General features: G+C 39.5%; 3 long non-coding RNA genes across 4 annotated transcripts in view; 2 read left to right on the top strand and 1 right to left on the bottom strand.

The window, feature by feature from the left end:
• LOC105378523 (uncharacterized) overlaps window positions 1-369 on the top strand; it is a 129587-nt gene extending 129218 nt beyond the window's left edge. Inside the window, exon 2 of the long non-coding RNA XR_007062321.1 lies at window positions 118-369. This is a non-coding gene — a long non-coding RNA (uncharacterized LOC105378523). The remainder of the gene's footprint in view (window positions 1-117) is intronic.
• A 7392-nt stretch (window positions 370-7761) lies between these two features.
• LINC01153 (long intergenic non-protein coding RNA 1153) lies at window positions 7762-15191 on the bottom strand. The gene is made up of 2 exons (XR_246197.3): window positions 14756-15191; window positions 7762-10352 (listed from the first exon to the last, which is right to left on the bottom strand). It is a non-coding gene; the product is annotated as a long intergenic non-protein coding RNA 1153 (long non-coding RNA).
• LOC124902515 (uncharacterized) overlaps window positions 8184-16595 on the top strand; it is a 66678-nt gene continuing 58266 nt past the window's right edge. The window contains exon 1 of one of the 2 annotated variants that reach the window (XR_007062318.1): window positions 8184-8341. This is a non-coding gene — a long non-coding RNA (uncharacterized LOC124902515). Of the gene's footprint in view, window positions 8351-16595 lie in introns of both variants that reach the window. The other variant, XR_007062317.1, reaches the window with a different exon arrangement.

The raw sequence follows: 16595 nt of genomic DNA, 5'->3' as shown, positions 1-16595 counted from the left end.
TGTATACTGGACTCATTCCTAGGTCTCCTGTTTATGGCTGATGGGTTACTGGGTTGAAGCAGACTCCTTGCAAGGCCAACACGTATTCCAGGTCTCTTGTGAATTTATTTGTTACAGTGGACCAGAGGAGAAGATATGGATGAACTCCTTGGACCCACCCTGTTCCCAGCTCATCTGGGAGAATGAAGCTAATTGGTAAATCCACTGTTTGATGCTTGTAATGAAGACTCAAGGAGTTCTGTCTCTACCAAGTTCCTTGCCCTTAATGACTCAAGAATTAATTTTATCTTTTCCTCTCAAAACCTTGAAAGAAATGCTTGAGTCCTTGTAACCTGTAAAATAAATGTTGTTACTGAAGGGAAAAGCAAATTCCCTGGTTGCATTGACTGCATGGAATATTATGGTAAGATTTGCTACAATGCATTTCTCTCCTCTTTCTGCCATTTTGAAAGCAGCCCAACGTGAAAACTTGCTGAGATGCTAACCAATGTCTCTACCCTTGGCTGCAACAAGAAGATCACTGGCCAGGCACAGCCCCCTCTAGGAGATGGATCTTAGGCAAAACCGTGAATGGTGCTATCACAAAGCACAGCCCATCCTGATTCCTGTCTGCCTCTTCATGGCCATTTGTTGACATCTCCATAGTTGTGCTGGATTGGACCTGGAGTGATTCATCACCCTTTCTCTTCCCAAATTACCAAAGGTATTTATGATATTGCAGTAGAAGGAGGGAGAAATCGCATTTAACATTCCACAGAAAATCTTTTTTTTTTTTCCTGAGACAGAGTCTCGCTCTGTCGCCCACGCTGGAGTGCAGTGGCGCCATCTTGGCTCACTGCAACCTCCACCTCCTGGGTTCAAGCGATTCTCCTGCCTCAGCCTCTCGAGCAGCTGAGATTACAGGTGCGCACCAACACGCCCAGCTAATTTTTGAATTTTTAGTAGAGACGGGGTTTCACCATGTTGGTCAGGCTGTTCTGAAACTCCTGACCTTGTGATGCACCCGCCTCAGCCTCCCAAAGTGTTGGGATTACAGGTGTGAGCCACCGAGCCCGGCCCAGAAAACCTTTTAAAAATAAAGTCCAGAGCTTTGGTTTGTTCACTGAATTCCCAGAGGGTGCATCTTCAGTCATCTCCTAGTTAATCACGAACAATTCTAGATTGTACAGGTTACTAGTGAGGTCTTCAGATCCCTAATTTCCATTGAACCTCTTGGTTATCACTAAGGAGCTCCTCTTGGCCATCCCTTTCAGTGACCTGGTTATAACTCAAGCTTGTAATCATTTCCAAAGACATCCCTTACAGGCATGTTTTCCCCTAGAAACAATTTTGTCAGGGCTTTATTTGATTGTTTCCCTAACAAAAATCCTAAATGTTATTTCTGAAGAGAGTATGATATTATTGTGATTTCCCTGTGGCAATCTGAGAAGCCTGCCTTAATTGACACCAGCAAAATACTTGGCACAAGGGATTTGCAGCTTCAACTAGGAGCAAATGAAAGGCTCATCTCTGTTGTAAAAATTTCATTTTTGGTGAACGGTCCAATTCATAGGCAGAGCCAGAAGCTAGAATTCCAGGGGAATGGTTCCATCTTGGGTTTTAATTGATTGTCCTCTTTTTTTCTGCCTAAAAACGATTGATTCCCTGACCTCATGATCCACCTGCCGTCTCTACTAAAAATACAAAAATTAGCTGGGTGTGGTGGTGCGTGCCTGTAATCCCAGCTACTCAGGAGTCCGAGGCATGAGAATCATTTGAACCCAGGAGGCAGAGGTTGCAGTGAGCTGAGATCATGCCACTGCACTCCAGCCTGGTGACAGAGCACGACTCCATCTCAAAACAAACAAACAAAAAAAAACACTTTAAACTGTGAAACTTTATATGAGGGAAATAACACAGTGAGTTTTTCTAAATCAGTTTTTCTAAGGGGAAGTTTAAAGCTCCATGCAAGCATTTAAATGCTATAGCACTTTACGAGGTAGAACACTTTAGACCACTAATTATTACCAAGGCTAATGAGATATCATTGGGTCAACTATCAAGCAAGTTCAGAGGCTATCTTATTTACCAGGGAAACAAATCTTTGGCAAAATAAAGTGGTTTAAGTGGTTTGAAACAACGATTTGAAGGATATGTGTGGCCCCTATCCCTGACCAAAGCCAACTGGATCAAGCAATTTCACTTTTGTATGTGATCAATACTGGGGCTCCTCTAAGACTTAATTTTTTTTTTTTTTTTTTGAGATGGAGTCTCTCTTTCGCCAGGCTGGAGTGCAGTGGCATGATCCTGGCTCAAGGCAACCTCTGACTCCCTGGCTCAAGTGATTCTCCTGCCTCAGCCTCCCGAGTAGCTAGGATTACAGGCGCGTGCCATCATGCTCAGCTAATTTTTGTATTTTTAGTAGAAATGGGGTTTCACCATGTTGGCCAGGATAGTCTCCATCTCCTGACCTCGTGATCCACCCACCTCGGCCTCCCAAAGTGCTGAGATTACAGGCGTGAGCCACCGCACCCAGCAAGACTTAATTTTTAAAAAGGCTTCTGCTTAAAAATTTTTAGTAAACAATTCTCTTTACAATATTGTCTTCCTCCTTGTAAAATTTTTGTATTGCTTGGTTTTTCTTCTCAACCACATATATCAACTTTCAAAATATTCAATTGAATACACCCCCCACACATTCTTACACTTTCTGTAATACCCAGCCCTTTACCCAGGTCACATGGCTTGGGAAACATGGCCTGTTTTGGGCTGTGGATGGATGAAGCATGTAGACTGTGTAACTTGGTCAGCAAGAAGGCGGGATGCATGTTTGCTCTGTGTGTACGGACCATACTTTGCTAACAACAGTGCCATGAGTCAGGAAAAGAAAGAGGGAGAGTTTCCCTTTACAAAGAGAATACCATCACCTGATAGTTTTATTCATTGGTAAATTAGTGAGATATGACTCTAAAAGTATAAACCAAAGAATTTTGACCTCCTCCAAATTGTAACCTGTGACAAAGCCTCACTTATTCTATAGATGTAGCCCTTTCTTTTTGAGAATTATCCTCAGAATCTATGATGTTAAAACCAACCTTATTGGGAACACAGCACAGCTCTGTGATGGCGCATTGGATTTTGGGTGACCTACCAGAAATCACAAGGAACAAAACTGGGTGAATGAGGTGGTCATCAGCTTGGGTAATGAAGTTTTAAGTAAAAATAGATGGTGGCCAATTTTTTTCTCTGGGCCTCATGAACTGATTCTAAAGAGCTTATATTGAAAAAAATGAATTCATTCTTTCAATCACTGCTTGTTGAACTTCTTCCCCAGGTAGGCAGATTTTTTTCTTCATTTACTATCTCTTACTGTTCTTTAATTAAAAACATCTTGCCTTTTAGCCAATATTATCCATTGCTTTAGAATAGTTACTTCACGTCATTCATTCAAATGAAAATCCAATTGTTGCTTGAAGGGTCTCAAATACTTCTTTAAGCTGCCATCTTTAAAATTCAGGCTCTAGAAATTCTACTTGCATTCCATAATATTTGGGAGGTTGACCACAGTCTGCAGTTATTCCAAACTATTTTTAGAGTGTAAGTTATGCCAGTTCATTATTTACATTGGTCAAATTAGCTGGCTAATTGCCAGGTGGCCTCTTTGCTTTCGGATATGTTGACATCGCCTTCATTTTGTTGCTTCTAAAGAGGCATAGGCTTCTTGGGGCACACATGGTGTATAATTGCAAAAGAACAATAACTATTGGCGAGGCGCAGTGGCTCACGCCTGTAATCCCAGCACTTTGGGAGACCGAGGCAGGTGGATCACGAGGTCAGGAAATCAAGACCATCCTGCCTAACACGGTGAAACCCCGTCTCTACTAAAAAATACACAAAATTAGCCGGGCGTGGTGGCAGGTGCCTGTAGTTCTGGCTACTCGGGAGGCTGAGACAGGAGAATGGCATGAACCTGGGAGGCAGAGCTTGCAGTGAGCTGAGATTGCACCCAGAGTGAGACTCTGTCTCAAAAAAAAAAAAAAAAAAAAAAAAAAAAGAACAATAGCTATCTCAAGCATCTGCTTATGTAATCCATTCTTTTTTCTCAAAAAGAGCCCCAAATACAAACTGAATTTTTTAAATCCTTTTTTTATTCATGATATTAACCATGCTGCCAGACTCCTGGGGCGCCAAGCATATTCAGCTAACCAAAACACAGAACAAATTCTGGGAGACCAGTAAGGATGTCAAACACAGCACCATTCTCTTTGTTTCATAGAACTATGTTCTCATTGATGGTTTGCTTTAATTTTCTTTTTTGTAAAATAAGCTGGCAAGACAGGGGGCTGTTTGAAACCTAGGGAGGGAGGCAAGATTTCCAAACTCGTGGAATGAAATGAGATGGGAGATTGTGAAAGTGCAATGCACGGAGCGGTGAAATGGCTCTGTAGTGTGTTCTCGCTGACCAAGTGTTTTAAATATTAAACCGGGAATGTTATCCAAAGTTTCAACACATTTCAGTGTATTATATACTACATGCCATATTCGTCATTTCAGAACAGCTTGAAAAATTGCACAAAGTCCAGTGGGTGACCCAGTCACTTTAGAGTAATAATATAGCTTTAACAGTTCCTCCACGCCTCCCTCTTTCATGTGAGAACCTGATTTTACTTTGTAAATTTGACTTTGTTAATCCTCACAGCTTCACTGCCTGGTTGACACGTTTTCCAGTGTTTCAGATCTCTCTGTCTCTCTCTTTTTTTAAATTAGCTAAGTGTACAATATCAAGGCCTACATTTCAGATAATGGACGCAGTCTTTGACTTTTGTCCATTCTAATATGATCATTAAGTAACCCCGGAGGAAAATGGAAAACTTTGAACAGGCGATGTGAAGCAGATGCAGCTTCAGAAGTAACATTTTTAAAACGTGCATTGGATATGACATCTTTTCACATTTCAGAAATCGCCAGTACGGTGGATTGTTTAAAATATATGAAGTGAGATTTAGCAGCTGGGGAACACTCGTTTATCTGCTTCATAGCGTTAAATCCCCATAAATGTTTTGAACAATGAACTGGTATGTAACATTACCAAATAACTCTTCCTATTAAATGAAACCCGTTAGATCTCATGGCACAATCAAGTTTTGTAATATCAAAAGATTATGGGCCATATGTTAATTCGAGGTAACGTAATAATCACATAATTGTTATAGCTGTATTTCAGAAGTTGTTAACTTCAGTATGCAACTTTATTTTATACATTATGGTAAGACATACCCTAAGCCTGGAAGCAGGGCCCATCAGAGAGCCCCAGGTTATTGGTTAGAACTATGTGGTTTGATCAAATACATCAGTTGAGGGGAAAGAACCAGAAAGCCTAGTTGTTGTTTTGTAATCAGAATTACCTCTTTGGTTGACCAGATACTCATTCTTTATCTTGCTGGGAGGGCTTGTTAGGAGCTAGGCTTAGCGTAGTTATCTTGGATCTTAGTTCTACGAGAGACCATAAAAGGACTCAGTGGCTGCTGAGCTGATTTATTGCAGTTCAGCTGTGAGGCCCTCATGTGGCAGGAACAATTCCTCTTGTCCATTTTGTTTTCTCTGACTCTTCCACGACGATTATGTAAATCTCCTCTCTTGAGGCCTATTGCACAATGGAGGCATCATAACCCGAAAATTGTTGAGGAAAAAAAACAACCATAACACTGATAGCTCGAGCCTCAGGTATGAGGCTCAGGTCACAACACTGAGTGTGAGAGATACAGCTTCTTTACTTTTCCCTGTTCAGGTTCATCTAATTTACCCTGGAATTTGTCTAAGGAGCTGATGAGGGAGCACTAGCCCAGGGGGTGTAGGTGGGCATGTTCATTCCTTGATGCCATCTCTCCACACTAGTACCCGCTAATTCCTTCCTCATTTGGGCTGGCTCTTGGTCAACAGTCGTTGTAGCCTTAGCTCCTTTACCTGAATTCTCATCTGCAAGGCTACCTCAGGTCCAGGGGCTCTCTGCTGCTTTCATACTGCAAAGGGATCATTTTGTGGCTTGTAAGGCATTTGAAGAATAGAAAACTTATGAGGCTAAGTCCCTATCTACCTAGAAATTCCACACTTTTTTTTTTTCCTTTTGGAGCTAGTCCTAGAAAATGAGTCACAGGTGTCCCCTGCTGTTGGATCCCACAAGCTTAACTGGGAATTGATTCCTTCTTAGGACTTGATCAGGAGTCTAGGTTGGGGACTTTATCCTTGCATCCTGCTGACTTTTACCTGCTTATCTGGCCCCCCCTGGTCCTCAGGAGGTCCTATTCTATTCTTGAGGGAACATAATTCTATTCTATTCATGATATGTCCTCCTTAATCTTCTATCTGTATCATTATCCCCTTTCCTTCCTCAAATTATGTACGCTTTTGCAGGAAAGGCAAAGATTGAGGATAGGAGAAGGAAATTCTGGGAGAAAACATTGGTAACTTTCTAAACATTAAGTTATCACACATTTACAGATCACTTAAAGCCAGACAGTATGTTCACCAATATTATGTCTCATTTTTGTCTCATAAAGTGGAGATCTTTAGCTTTTTTTTTTCCTTTTAAATAAGGGGAAACCTAAGCTCAGAGGGGTTAAGTAACTTGTCTGAAAAACAGTAAGCAGGAAAATTAAGATAGGAACCAGACTTTTCTGACTCCAGAGCCCAGAACCTGTTCCCTAGGACAATGGAATCCCCAGAGATTTAGATGTGACTGGCCTGGATACGGCCTGGGCACTGGGATATTTTTTTCAGTTCCCCAGATGATTCTGCCACAGCCCAAAACTGTGCTGCCCACAAAACAAGCACTGTTGCGAGGCTTCTTGCCCGATGCCATCCATTGCAGATGGATCTTTGGTTTTCATTCCTTTTCTCTGAAAGGTAACTGAGCTTCTGAGAAGAAACTGTGGCTGGAGGAAGCATGTATGTTGTTAGGATTTTGAGTCACAGAATATACTGTTTACCCCATAGCTTTTTGTGTGCCGAACAACTCCCAGATGTTCACAGGTTAGGATGAACTTCTAGTCGTCTTGGAATCCAATGGGGGAAGAAAACCTTCAGAGAGTACACGTTCAGATTTTGATATAAGTTCCTTAAACAGAGAAGATGAGGAGCAGTGCTCAGTGCTGTTGCTTGGGAAATTTATTTGAAAAAACTTTCTTTAGAATGTTTTTTGAGGGAGTTGAGGAGTAAAGGAGCTTTTTTTTTTTTTTTTTTTTCCGCTTCCAATGAAACTCATAAATGATCTTCTTCCAAAAAGACTAATTTCATAGTAGGCTGGAGAAGTCAGTAAAGGCCTTAAATAGTTTGAACTTCTTTAGTTTTCACTTAAAGGCCACACTCAATTGTAGCCCTTGTTGAAAGTTAAGCCGGGAAATGTCTCTGAGGAGAAATTCAAGCTTTCCTTCCAGCTTGGACAGGTCATGAATGGTGATTATCTGACTGTAATTCAAATCATATGTATGGCCGTTGTTTTTTGTCCTACTCAAGATTATTTTTCCCCTTTTAAATCGAGCAAAATAGTCATTGGCTTAAAGACAGACCTGTTCACATAAAGACACGGTGCTGGAAACGCAATGGTGTTCCAAGACCTCAAACTACAAACCAGATTTCTAAATCTCCAGCAAAGATAAGGCTCAGTCCAAATGCATTCATAATGCATTCATAATCTCCAATTCAGCCTTCCCCCGCTGACCCAAGAATGAATACATTTCAAAACACAAAACTAACATTGTCAGAAAAATACAAATGTGGACAAAAGACAGTGAAGCCCTTTATTTGTGTCCTGTGTCAGGGACTCACTTTATTTACAGATGGGCCTAATTATGCCTTTGTCTCTAAACTGCTGAATGAAGAATGGACAACCTATGTGTGTCTAGGAATATTTCCTGGCCTCTCGACTCTGGATGTCATTTTGGACAATGCAAGTGGATATTTGGTTTTACTCGTGTGAGTGTTTTCCATACTGGCAACAGAGCTTTACACCACATGAGGTGGTATGGCCAGGTAGGGAGGGCTTGTCACTGAGAGTCACCAAGTGGGGTGGAGCTTCTGCTGTGTCCCTTACTGGTAGTGAGCTTAGGATACCTACCAGTAAGGTATCACTTACTGGTAGGTATCCAGGGGACACTTGAGTACCACTTGGGTCTCAGTTTCCTTCTCTGTAAAATGGGAGACAATAATCCTTACCTCACAGGGTCATTGTGAGGCTCAGATGAGGTCACGTGTGGAATTAGCAGAGCATCAGAGAAACGCTGGCCATTGCTGTTATCAGGGGTCATTCGGAGGGTGCCGAGGACTGCAAAGGAAATAAAACATGCCTGGAAAAGCACTGAGTGAGGTGAGTGAGGTGAGTAAGTGCTCCGCAGGTGCGCGGCCACCAGGAAACCTGTCAATTACTTGCCCCTTCCACCCTTTCCTTTACATTGGACTTTAGCATTTTCCTCGGTTTTCAAAATTATTTTCACTGATACAGACCAGATTTCCTTAGAATCCTTAATGTCCTAACACTTTTAAGACCCTGTTCTAAAAATATATTTTGTATCCTGTGTTGCTACAGGCAATTATTTCTTTTCACTGGCTTGCTCATGTAGTATCAACTGGACTTTCTAGAACTTGTCTGTAGTTTGTCTGTAGTGGTATTTTGCATGCTCTAACTGCTGGTTCAGCCCAAGGCCCCACATAGCTTCTGCGCCATGTCTCTGTTTAGCGTGTTCATGTGAGATATGTCTATTTGGATGTGTGCTCATGCTCCTCACAGGTTTATATGGTTACATCAACAAGGCAGGAGCTGTAGCATGTCTTTTGGAGAGGGCCTTATGCCGCTGTATTTTATAATGAAATATAATGGTCCAGGGTCACTTTTTAAATTCACCTACATAGCAAAGTATTCTTCTGACAAACAAAATGACAACAGCAACAACTAAAGTATCATGAGGCACAATTCAAGAATGTTAGAGCTGCCTGATTTCTGAATTTTTAGGTTTATCGGTTAAAGAATCAGGCCAAATTTGGTTATGGTTATGGTTTTTGGAAATAGGAGGGAAGGGAATTGATGGAGGGGAAGATAAAGGGAAGCAAAGGAGTAGGTTTTAGAGGGCAGCCTTAGAAATTATAAAGAGCCCTGGATGAAACCCTGTGCTTTGGGAGGTCTGCCCTCCCTACCTCTTGGAGAGGGGGTCCCAAGCCTAGAGTCAGGTCACAGGCCAAGGCTCCTGTGGACAGAGCTGGGGCTCCCTGCAAGCCTGTCTGTCCGGGAGAGGGGTGACAGCTTTTGAACATGAGCTCTTCCTGATCTCGGTAGGTTCAGTTAAGGTTTTATACTCAGAGATTTCCCCGAGGTAAGCATCAAGTTTCTCCTCCCCTTTGGAATCTTGATGGAACCAGGAAGTCAGAGTCAGCAACAATGGGGTAGAAGAAATCTCTCTAGTCCTTCCTGGGACACTTTCCATTAATGTTTTGACAGTGTTAATGCAATGTCAATTTGGGCTAGAACCTTGGGCATGCTGCTTCTTGTGCAGTTTTGAGAATGAGAAGAGGCACAGGGGTTAAAGAACCAGATTTTACAGAAAAGTGCTTCCTTGGGAGGTGTTTTACCTATTTTGGGTCACTGGGACACCTTATAAGATATGTTTTGTTTTTTTTTTCAAGTGTGTTAAGACAGAAGCCTGGGTGTTTCCTAAATTCTTTAACTTATCCCTGGAAGAAAGCCTGTGTGTAATCTCTAGGATTTTCCAAAATGAATCCCAGTGCCCTTTGGATAAGCAGAGAACCAGGGAGTCAGCAGAATACATTTAGCCTTTAATTCCCCTGTTGTAGAGTCAGCAATAGCCATGCACAACCTTGGGGCCAGTTGTGAGGGTATTCAAAAAATCTAATTTAGCACCATGGATACATTCCAAAGAAAGAGTGAACATGCCTGGGTCGTGTTTGTTTTTACAAAGAGAGCCCTGATTTTGTTAAAGAATGACAACTGAGGCATCTGCAACCTCCAAGGAATATTTTTGTGCCTTGTTCCAAGCAAAAATTTCCAGCAAATTTTAATATAATTTGCCCCCCTCCCATCCCAAATGAGAAAAACCTGCTTCCAGGATGAGAAGTCAAGTTTCAGCAAAGAATAATCTCTTTTTGCAACTCAATTATGAGTAATTGAGAAGTGGTTTTTGCATTGCCAATGCTCAGTGCGCTGCCATGTAGGGAACATTAGGCTTGGGAGGGGGAGTGTGGTCCTCAAGTACCTGCAGCTGCATCCTCTTCTGGAGACAGCTCCACAGGCAACGTCTCTGCATGCAAATGTCGGCTGGCATTCTGGTGTGGCTTCTCATGCATGTAGGTATCAGGATCCCAGCCATCTGCCAGGAAGAGAAAGCTTTCAGTCTCTTGGAACAGATGGATGGAGTACTGTAATGCATCATTGCCATTTGCAACTGGGCTTTTGCACACACACTTAGGTAAACTCATATCTTCTCAATTGAAAACACTATCGATTGTGACCATGGAGGAAAATGGAGAGGAGAGTTTACTCATCTCTTCAAAGCTTGAAATGAGACTAGATAATGCTTTAAGTTGGGGTAAAGATGGGCCCCATTTTCTCTTACAATAAAGAGCACTTTTGACAGAGTTCTGAAAGCTATATTATACTAAGGATAGTTAATGCTGGCTACTGTTCTGAGCACTTGTGTGCCTAATATTCTTTACTCCTTTTAATTTTATTATCTTGATTGAGTCTCAGATAGGCTCAAGTTTCTGCAGCTAGTAAACTGAGTCAGGGTTTCAATCTGGGTCTCCACTAAAAGCATTTTGCTAAGTCTGAATATACATTGGTGAGATGAGTACTAAGCACCCCCAGACCATCAGTGGACCTTTGACACATCTGCTGATCTCTGAGTCCTTCTGTTTTATGAGGAGGATTGCTCAGGGTCAAACCTAGGAGTCCGTCTATTGGTAAGATGCATATCCACAGAGGAGGCTTCCGAGACTTCTCGTTTCCATTTGGACCTTTAAGTGAGTCTGGATTTTCTTGGCTTCACTTGACACAGGTCCATTATCCAAACCCAGCACACCAGATTAGCCCAGTAGAACCAGGGCAGGTTACGCTTAACCAAGGCTGTGTTGGTTGACATGGGCTTCTCCAGTAGAAAAGTCACAACCTGGAAAATATGCTCCTTTGTGCCATGTTTTCTTTTCCCCATTTCCAACGTTTGAATCATTTATTAAAGAAAGGAGCTGTTCTTTCCCTTGTTTTCCTAGGACATTATGTTCTTAAAAAATACAAAACAATGCAAAAGCCAAGATACTGGGCCCAGACCTGGTCACCCACAGGCTAGCCCAGATAGAAGCCTGTGGTTCCCTCTTCACCAGATGCCAAGTGTCCCAAATGTCATATGCATAGAGTACACGAGAAAGAAATTTCCCACCTGAATTAACTGAGATGCAGTAACTTGGATTAATGAATGACATGAAATTTGTTGAGTGACTATGTAAACAATCCATGCATGTAACACACATTCAAAACATTTAAAAGAGCACTGAGTGAAAAGAGTCCCTCAAAGTCTAGTAAACTGCCTCATTGGAGGCACACCAATGTGAAGGGTATTATTTTTCTATTTTTAAAAAATTCTTAAGTATTATTAATCAGTCTTGTTTTCAGTTATACTGAAGTAATTGGGATTAAACTCTTTGTAGAATCATCATCTAGGATTAACATTTGCTGTGGGATGTTGAGATGGTATGCTAACCTCCAGCCAAAGATCTCCAGGCACTTCACGTCTATTGACATTTTTTGAACACCTACTATGTTCCAGGCTCTGTGACCAAGCAGCCAACTTGGGTCGTCAATGAAGTCGAACAGGTGTCAATTCGTTTTTGGAAAATTGAGCAATTGGCAAAAATTCCACTTGGAAGGCAGACAAATTTGTTTGGAAGAATGGATGAATAAAAAGCCAAGAAAACTCTGAAAAGAAAGTGCAATAAGAAAAAAAAGTCCCACCAGACATCCAAACATACTGGAAAACCTCTGTTATCAAAACAGGTTATACTGGCATGTGAATAGGCAGACTGACAAAGCAAAGTAGAAGACCCAGAAATAGCCCCACTTGCACGTGGAGACTTGTAGATGAGAAAGGTGGCATCGCAAATTGGTGGGAGAATGAACTTCTCTGCAAGGGGTGTTGGGATAAGTAGATAGCAACTGGAAAAAAAACAAAATCGGACCTGTTTCTCCATATACTGGGTTAAATTCCAAGTAGACAAGAGATTTAAATATAAAAACTGAAACTGTAAAAATAAGAAAATATTGGCAAATGGCTTTCTATCCTTGGAGATTGTGAAGCTTTCTGAATTACGGCTCAAATCCAGACATGGTAAGGGAAAAGATTGAAAAATTTGGTTGTATTGAAATAAAAAAAACTTCGTGTGACAAAAAAATCAACAACAACAAAAAAATAAAAACCACCATGAGTAAGATAAGACAAATGACAAACTAGGAAAAATAATATTCACAGCTTATATTAGAGACAAATTATTAATAGCCCTAATGTATTTGAAAAAGCTCCTTAAAATGGAGGAGAAAAACTACAACAATTCTGTAGAAAAATATACTAAGGATAGTATATTTATTGATGTTCAAATATTTGCCCCCTTAGGGCAAATCTTTCTGTAGAAAAATGGGTTAGAAATATAAGCAAATAATTGACAGAAAAAGAAATCCAAATATCTCTCTGTCGCTCTCTTTTTTTTTTTTTTTTTTTTTTTTTTTGAGATGGAGTCTCACTCTGTCACCCAGCCTAGAGTGCAATGGTGCGATCTTGGCTCACTGCAACCTCCACCTCCCAGGTTCAAGCAATTCTCCTGCCTCAGCCTCCCGAGTAGCTGGGCTTACAGGCACCCACCACCATGCCCAGCTAATTTTTGTATTTTTAGTAGAGATGGGCTTTCACCATGTTGGTCAGGCTGGTCTCGAATTCCTGACCTCAAGTGATTTGCCTGCCTCGGCCTCCCAAGGTGCTGGGATTACAGGTGTGAGCCACCATGCCCGGCCATCTCTCTTAACAGTATGAAAAGATAATCAACTTCATTAATAATAAGATAAATGTAAAATAAAAACTATACCAACGTACCATTTCTCACCTATCGGATGTCAAAACCCCAAAGGTTGACAACATGCTGTATTGGCAGACCTATGGGGAAACAGGCCCTCTCATTCAATTCTGGGAGGAATATGAAATGGGACAATCCCAGGGAGGAGACTGGCACTATCTAGCAAAACCACATGGGCATTTAGCCTATGACCCAGCAATGCCACTTCTAGGAATCGCCAAGATACCTTGGCAAAAATATGAAAAGACAGATACACAGGCTATTCATCACAGCACTTTTTATAAGAGCAGATGACTGAAAACAACCCAAATGTCCACCAGTAAGGAACAGGTTAAATAAACTATAGGACAGCTACATGATTGAGTATGTACTATGCAGCTATGAAAAGAAATGAGGATGAACCCTGTGATAGCTGTGGAGTGACTTCCAAGGCATGTTAAGTGAATCCAAGGCAGAAAAAAGAATAGTCTGCTGTTATTTATCAAAGAAAGGGAATATATATGTGTGTGTATCTGTGTGTATGATTATATATACATACATATAGGCACACATATATAATCATGTATATAATCACATATATGATATATATATTATGTACACACATAAATATATAATCACATATATGATTTGCTTGTATTAAAAAGGAAGAATAAAATGTATTTTTAAAATAAGTTATTTTTGAGGAAAAAAGGAATAGTGTGGAGAGTTCAGAGATGAAAGCTAGCCTTGTTACTTACATTTTGAGTTTCAAATTTGGTTTTGGAATCATACAAATGTTTTACATAATTGTGAAACCAAATTATAACACTAAAATTTAAAAAGCTAGTCTCTAAAAGCTGATGATAAAATGAAACAAATGAACCTAACTCTGGATTGAGCTGATGGCATAAGCAGAGACAGGAACTGCTCCAAGTGACTTTTAAATAAGATAACTTGACAGCATGTCCCTGGTGAGTATATACCCTAAGGATAAAAAGAACTTAAAAAAAAATTAAACTATTTTTAGTAATCATATTTTGGTGCTAATGCTTATATTATTATTCTGCTATTGTTCTAAGTATGGTGTGGGATAAAGCAAATGAATAATTATATTGGTGTCACTGAAAAATGGGATTTTTGTGGATGCAGATTAAGATCAAGGAATTTAGGTAAAATCTTACAGTCTTGATTTTGAATGAGGAGTATCAGTATGAACTTGATAGATTTTTCTCAAGGTCTGTCCGCTTAAAAGGCCTGGAAAGAATGACCAAACCAGTAGCAATGGGAACACCTATCACCCAGATTGTGGTTCTATTGGACAGAACCAAAGCTTCTTGGCAAGATGGAGGATTCCAGGTCTGGGAGGAAATAAACAAGGTGAGCCTGGAGCAATTGTCATAACTGAAAGCCAAAAAACTATCAAAGACTAGAAGAAACATGTCAAAAAGACTCAGGAGACAACTTGCAAAACCTCCCTCAGGGCAAATATTTCAACATCAATAAAGATAAAAACTAAGAGGGATTGAAACACATCGAATATGTTTTAATCCATGAGTTCCAAATGGTGCTAGGAAAATCATGGGTCACTCTTGCAGAATGCTAGGGTACAACTCATTAGTTTGAAAATTGGTAAATGAAAGAAAGAGGAAAGCTTATCTTGTTTCTATAAGAACCCTACCTTAGGAAACAAAGGAGCTGGTGAGAGGAGTTTCTCTTCAGAAATGTGTAATAGGTCACGAAGAGGAATGATGACAATAATGAAGCCAGCAAGAATACGTCCTCAGCTTCAGAGGTTCCTACCTGGGAGACAGAGTGGAGAAGAGAGGGTCCTTTTGCAGACCTTAATGAATTAATGGATCTAGGCAGTGATCATCAATGGCTGCAAACATCACAAACAGAGAAGCAACCTGACTGATGGAAGAACACAGCTCTACTCATGAGGTGGTCTTACAAAGCAATCAGACTTGAATCTGATCCAGAGCCTAGATCCAACTGCCAACTACGGGAAGTACAGGGTCCAGAGGAACAGGTTAATTCCTCAGGGATGGAATCAGCGAAGTGCAGACTATGGGAAATTCTACACGATAAGTGACCCAGTTTCTTCAACAAAAAAAGTTACGAAGATATAAAAAAGAGAGATAAGGAGGAGCATATATATTTTAAAAAGCCTTTACAGACTACCGACCAATTTAGTCTCATTGTATGGACCTAATTTGAAACCACCTTTGAACAAACAATTTAAAAATGTTTGAGATAATCAAGGAAATGTGAACACTGGAATATGGTCTAGATACTTGGCAATATTAAGATACTAATGAATTGTTAATTCTTAACCATATAAGAATTAGGTGTGGTAGTATTATTGAGGTATTTTTTAGTATCCTTATATTGTAGATATACATATTGGGATATTTATAGATAAATTGCTATATCTATATTTATAGATCTATAATTATATCTATAGATATATAAAAATATATATATTTATAAATTTATATCTATATTTATCTATAAATATCTATAAATATCTATATTTATCTATAATATCTATATATAAATATATATGAATATATAGATATTATCGATAATATCTATATATAAATATATAGATATTATCGATAATATCTATATATAAATATATAGATATTATCTATAAATCTATATAAAATATATATAAATATATAGATATTATCTATAAATCTATATAAAATATATATAAATATATAGATATTATCGATAATATCTATATATAAATATATATAAATATATAGATATTATCGATAATATCTATATAAAAATATATATAGAGAGATATTATCGATAATATCTATATATAAATATATATAAATATATAGATATTATCGATATCTATATATAAATATGTAGATATTATCTATATATAAATATGTAGATATTATCGATAATATCTACATATAAATATATAGATATTTATAGATAAATTGTTGTGCAGAATCCTTTTGCTGTTGTTGTTTTAGAGATAGAGTTTGCCCTTCAGGATGGAGTTCAGTGGTGTGATCATAGCTCACTGCATTCTTGACCTCCTGGGCTCAAGCGATCCTCCTGCTTCAGCCTCCTGGGTGGCTGGGACTACAGGCACATGCCACCATGCCCAGCTAATTTTTTAAAATTTTATTTTATTTATTTATTAGAGACAGGGTCTTACTATGTTGCCCAAACTGGTCTCAAACTCCTGGCCTGAAGTGATCCTTCTACCTCAGCCTACCAAGTAGCTGAGATTAGAGGCTTGAGCCACTGCACCTGGCTTATAGATGAATTGATATAATATCTGTGATTTACTTCAAAATATGAGTAGGGGAGAGAGCTATGTGGAGTATAGGTAAACAGGATTGGCTGTAAATTGATAATTTCTGAAGCTTGATACAGTACCTCCACGTTCACTAAGCTACTCTTCCTATTTTTGTAGACATTTAAATCTTCCATAATAAAAAGTTAAAAGTAGAGGGTAGGTTTTATCCAAGTATAATTCATCATCATCA

This window comes from Homo sapiens, chromosome 10 (genome assembly GCF_000001405.40).
Source record: "Homo sapiens chromosome 10, GRCh38.p14 Primary Assembly".
NCBI classification, from domain to species: Eukaryota; Metazoa; Chordata; class Mammalia; order Primates; family Hominidae; genus Homo; species Homo sapiens.
This window is presented reverse-complemented; position numbering and strand designations above follow the sequence as displayed.